The sequence below is a fragment of the Homo sapiens genome, chromosome 5, assembly GCF_000001405.40.
Source record: "Homo sapiens chromosome 5, GRCh38.p14 Primary Assembly".
NCBI lineage: Eukaryota > Metazoa > Chordata > Mammalia > Primates > Hominidae > Homo > Homo sapiens.
In genome coordinates this window covers 161,377,758-161,381,099 of record NC_000005.10, presented here as the reverse complement: position 1 = coordinate 161,381,099, position 3,342 = coordinate 161,377,758, and the positions used below count along the sequence as shown (strand labels likewise).

Genomic DNA, 3,342 nt, shown 5'->3' with positions numbered 1-3,342 from the left:
CTGAAAAAGATTAAAAGAGAAATAAGTATATGTACAGGGAAGATTGAGAGGTCTCTTAATTCTGTCATTTGTGGACAAGCCTCTGTGTCTCTGCATGTTTTTTGTTCTGAAGCTCCATGATAGGGTCTATGAAGTCACATAAAGATCTGTTTGTTTTAAATCCCATGACATTTTTATACCTTTCCTTTAAACCCCTCCTACTCACCCCACATTCAGTAAAGCCCTTTTTTTTTTACCCTTGTAAAATCTTGAGAAAAACTGACCTCAAGATTGTGGTGTACCAATACACAACCATTTTATTTCCACCTCACTATACAGTCTTTCATTCTGGCTCCATGTAAGTGTGTGCTCACCCTTGTCTTTGCAGCATTTATGGTTTTCAAATTTTCTGCATTACTTAAGACTTGATTGAACTCAGCTCTGGAAACTCTCAGCTCTTCAATTTTAAAACGTCAGATTTTTTTTTTTCACAAGAGCATTGCATGTTCTAAACAGAAAAGTTAGCAACTTAGCAATGCTCCTGAAACTCTGCCCAGGAAGCTCATTCCCCTCAACTGTCAGAATGCAGCTCAACTCTCAATGCCTCAAGGCAGTAGTTGTTACCTGCAAATGCAATTGGGTGCAAAGTTACTACAATTGGGTTTTAAATAGAGATTTGAGCATTTCATTAAGAAAGAGAAAGAAAATTGTAAAGTCCATAATTTTTGTAGGCTACAGTGAAAGTGATCTGGCTTTTCATAAAATAATAAAGTTGCTTTCCAGGGCCTAGGTGACAATTCACACCCTCAGTAGTAAATTAAATTCCTAAAGAGGTAAAATTTTATAGAAGGAAATTGTAGTATTATGGAGTTGTGAGATAAGGCATACCTGATTCCAAAAACAATAGGTTCTTTTTCAAAATCTATTTGTCTATTAATGTGTAGTCTTTATAATTCTTATATCAATACCTGAGATATTTGCTTAAAATGTAGACTTCTGGGCCATATTTCAAGCTTAATGAATTAGATTCTATAGAATTAGGGGCCCAAGCAATAAAAAAGAAAAATTAGGGACACATAGATAAGTTTTTTATAAGGGAATTGAATGAGGTAAACTCTGTAAAGTTGGCAGGACCCTCAGTTTATTGCTGTAGTTAATTGTGTTCTTTGCCCCTCTTTTTGCATCTTGTCCCTTTTCTTCTTCAGGATTTTCCTCCATATTTTACCACATTTTCTCTCCAGAAAGAGTGCAGTCAGCCCTTTCACACTGTGGCACTGGTAACTGACAGTGGCTTCAAATGTTCCCCTTTCTGGAAGCTGCATTTACAATTTAACATGTGTTAAACCTGAGCTTCATTTCAACCAAGGAATGAAGCTCTAGTAGTGCAAGTTGATTTGACTCAGAAAGGGGGTAATTGGAAGTGGCAGGCAGTGAAAACTTATTTTAATGGATGCTAGAATTAATGTATGAATGTCTGCTTCTATAGCCAGAGTGTGGACTCCATCATCCAGAATATTTCAGCACCTGAAGAGGCGAATCAACATAATAGAAATGGAATGAAATTTGAGAATGTATTATTTGAAATATCTTAATACAGATCATCTGTAGGTGTCTTGTTCTGTGATTGCTGTGAGATTTCTTTTTTTACATTGTGCTTAAATATTTAAAATGTTTATAAATCTAAGCATACTTCTCAGGAAAAGGCATAAATTCTTTAAACTCAGGAAATTCACACACATACACTCACACACATCCTGTAGTAGTAATTCTTGGAATATTAAGGAGGTGTGTTTGCATCTCATTGTAAGCTCCACATCATGAAAATGAGTATCAATGTCCACAATTTGTTGTTGCTTTTGCTTTTGTTGGCATTTAACAAATATGTCTTACATTGCTTAGATAACTACAATGAGTTTATGTTTTAAACAGTTCTGTCTTTCACTGAGCACCAGCTCCTGAAGACCTCATCTTTTTAAGGGGGCCAGATTCACTGAAAGACTAAAAGTGTATTTTAGATGTTTCATTTAAAATGATAACTAATGTCATTTCTAAGGTACTTTAAACCAAAAAGTAAGAGAAGGCAGTTTAGTGAAGAGTGGTGAAAATGAGGAGATCAAATTTCTAGTCTATTTGAATCATTTTAGATGGCCACTTCTCCAAATTGCTTTAAAATGAAATGGCTTGCCTAGCTCTCCTGGGCCTTGTGTGCAGGTGCTCCTTTGCAACATATGTTGCCTTCCATGAGGCACTCCAGCTTGAATTACACTGGAACTGATTCCATTTTAATAGCTCTCACTTTTGCTTCAACATTTTAAGATGCCACTTTTCAAATATACTCTTTATTGTGTTATTGAGACATTTCGTGGCATTTCACTTCTAGTAGCTGTAACTTTCAAACCAAGTAATTGTAATCTACATATATTAAATGTTATTTTTAGCATAATAGGAATAGGTTAGGGGAATGCCCTTTATCTACTCTTAGAAATTCCCATAACTGCATTTTCATTTGAGCATCATGGTAAATACATCACCAAGGCCATTATCACCTTGAACCCAGAAATGACCAGTTGATAAAAACATGTCTTTGCCCCTAGAACCACAGTAAACAAGTAAGAAACAAAAAACACATAAACTGAAGCCAAACATGTGTGACCATTAGCTCATTTTAAGGGCTAGAATAAGTGTACTGGGAATACATTTATTTACAGGTATTGTAGGAAAACAAAATTGATATAGAAACAATGGCTTAATTCATCTAGAAGTTCATATTTCAGTATACTTAAGACTGGATATTTTTCTTCTCATGATTAGGAGCAACTCTTGTTGAACATTTACTATGTACTACCCAGTTACATAATTTAGCCTTCTTAAGTCTCACTACAACCACCCATTAGCTATGATTATCCTTCCAATTTACAGATAATGAAACAGATTTTCCAAAAGGTTAAATAAATTGTGTTAAGACACAAAGCTAGTAAGCCTATTGTCTTAAATGTTTAGTTTCAGAGTTCCCAGAGTTCTCAACCCCAACTAAATAGGTAAGAAAAATGAAAACTAGAATTCCAAGAAAGAAACTCTGACTAGATTTTCAGTCTAATTAGCATTATGCATGTTGGTTAAATATTTTGTAGCAATTTTAATAATACATTTAGACAAATTATGTATTTGTATTAAATATGTATGTAATAAAAATACATACAAATATGTATTACATAAATATTTTACACAAATTAAACATATATAAAATATTTATAAGTTGATCTGCAAATGTAGACACTGTGTGTTTTTTATAGGAAATTAGATTCACGTACCAAATTACTGGTTTATAAATTTAATAAAGGGCTATTTTTAAGGGGAAAAATA

The 3,342-nt window shown here is 33.8% G+C and overlaps 1 protein-coding gene across 3 annotated transcripts in view; it reads left to right on the top strand.

Annotated features, from left to right (window-relative positions):
• Window positions 1-3,342, top strand: part of GABRB2 (gamma-aminobutyric acid type A receptor subunit beta2) — a 259,969-nt gene that overhangs the window by 167,305 nt on the left and 89,322 nt on the right. The window lies entirely within an intron of this gene.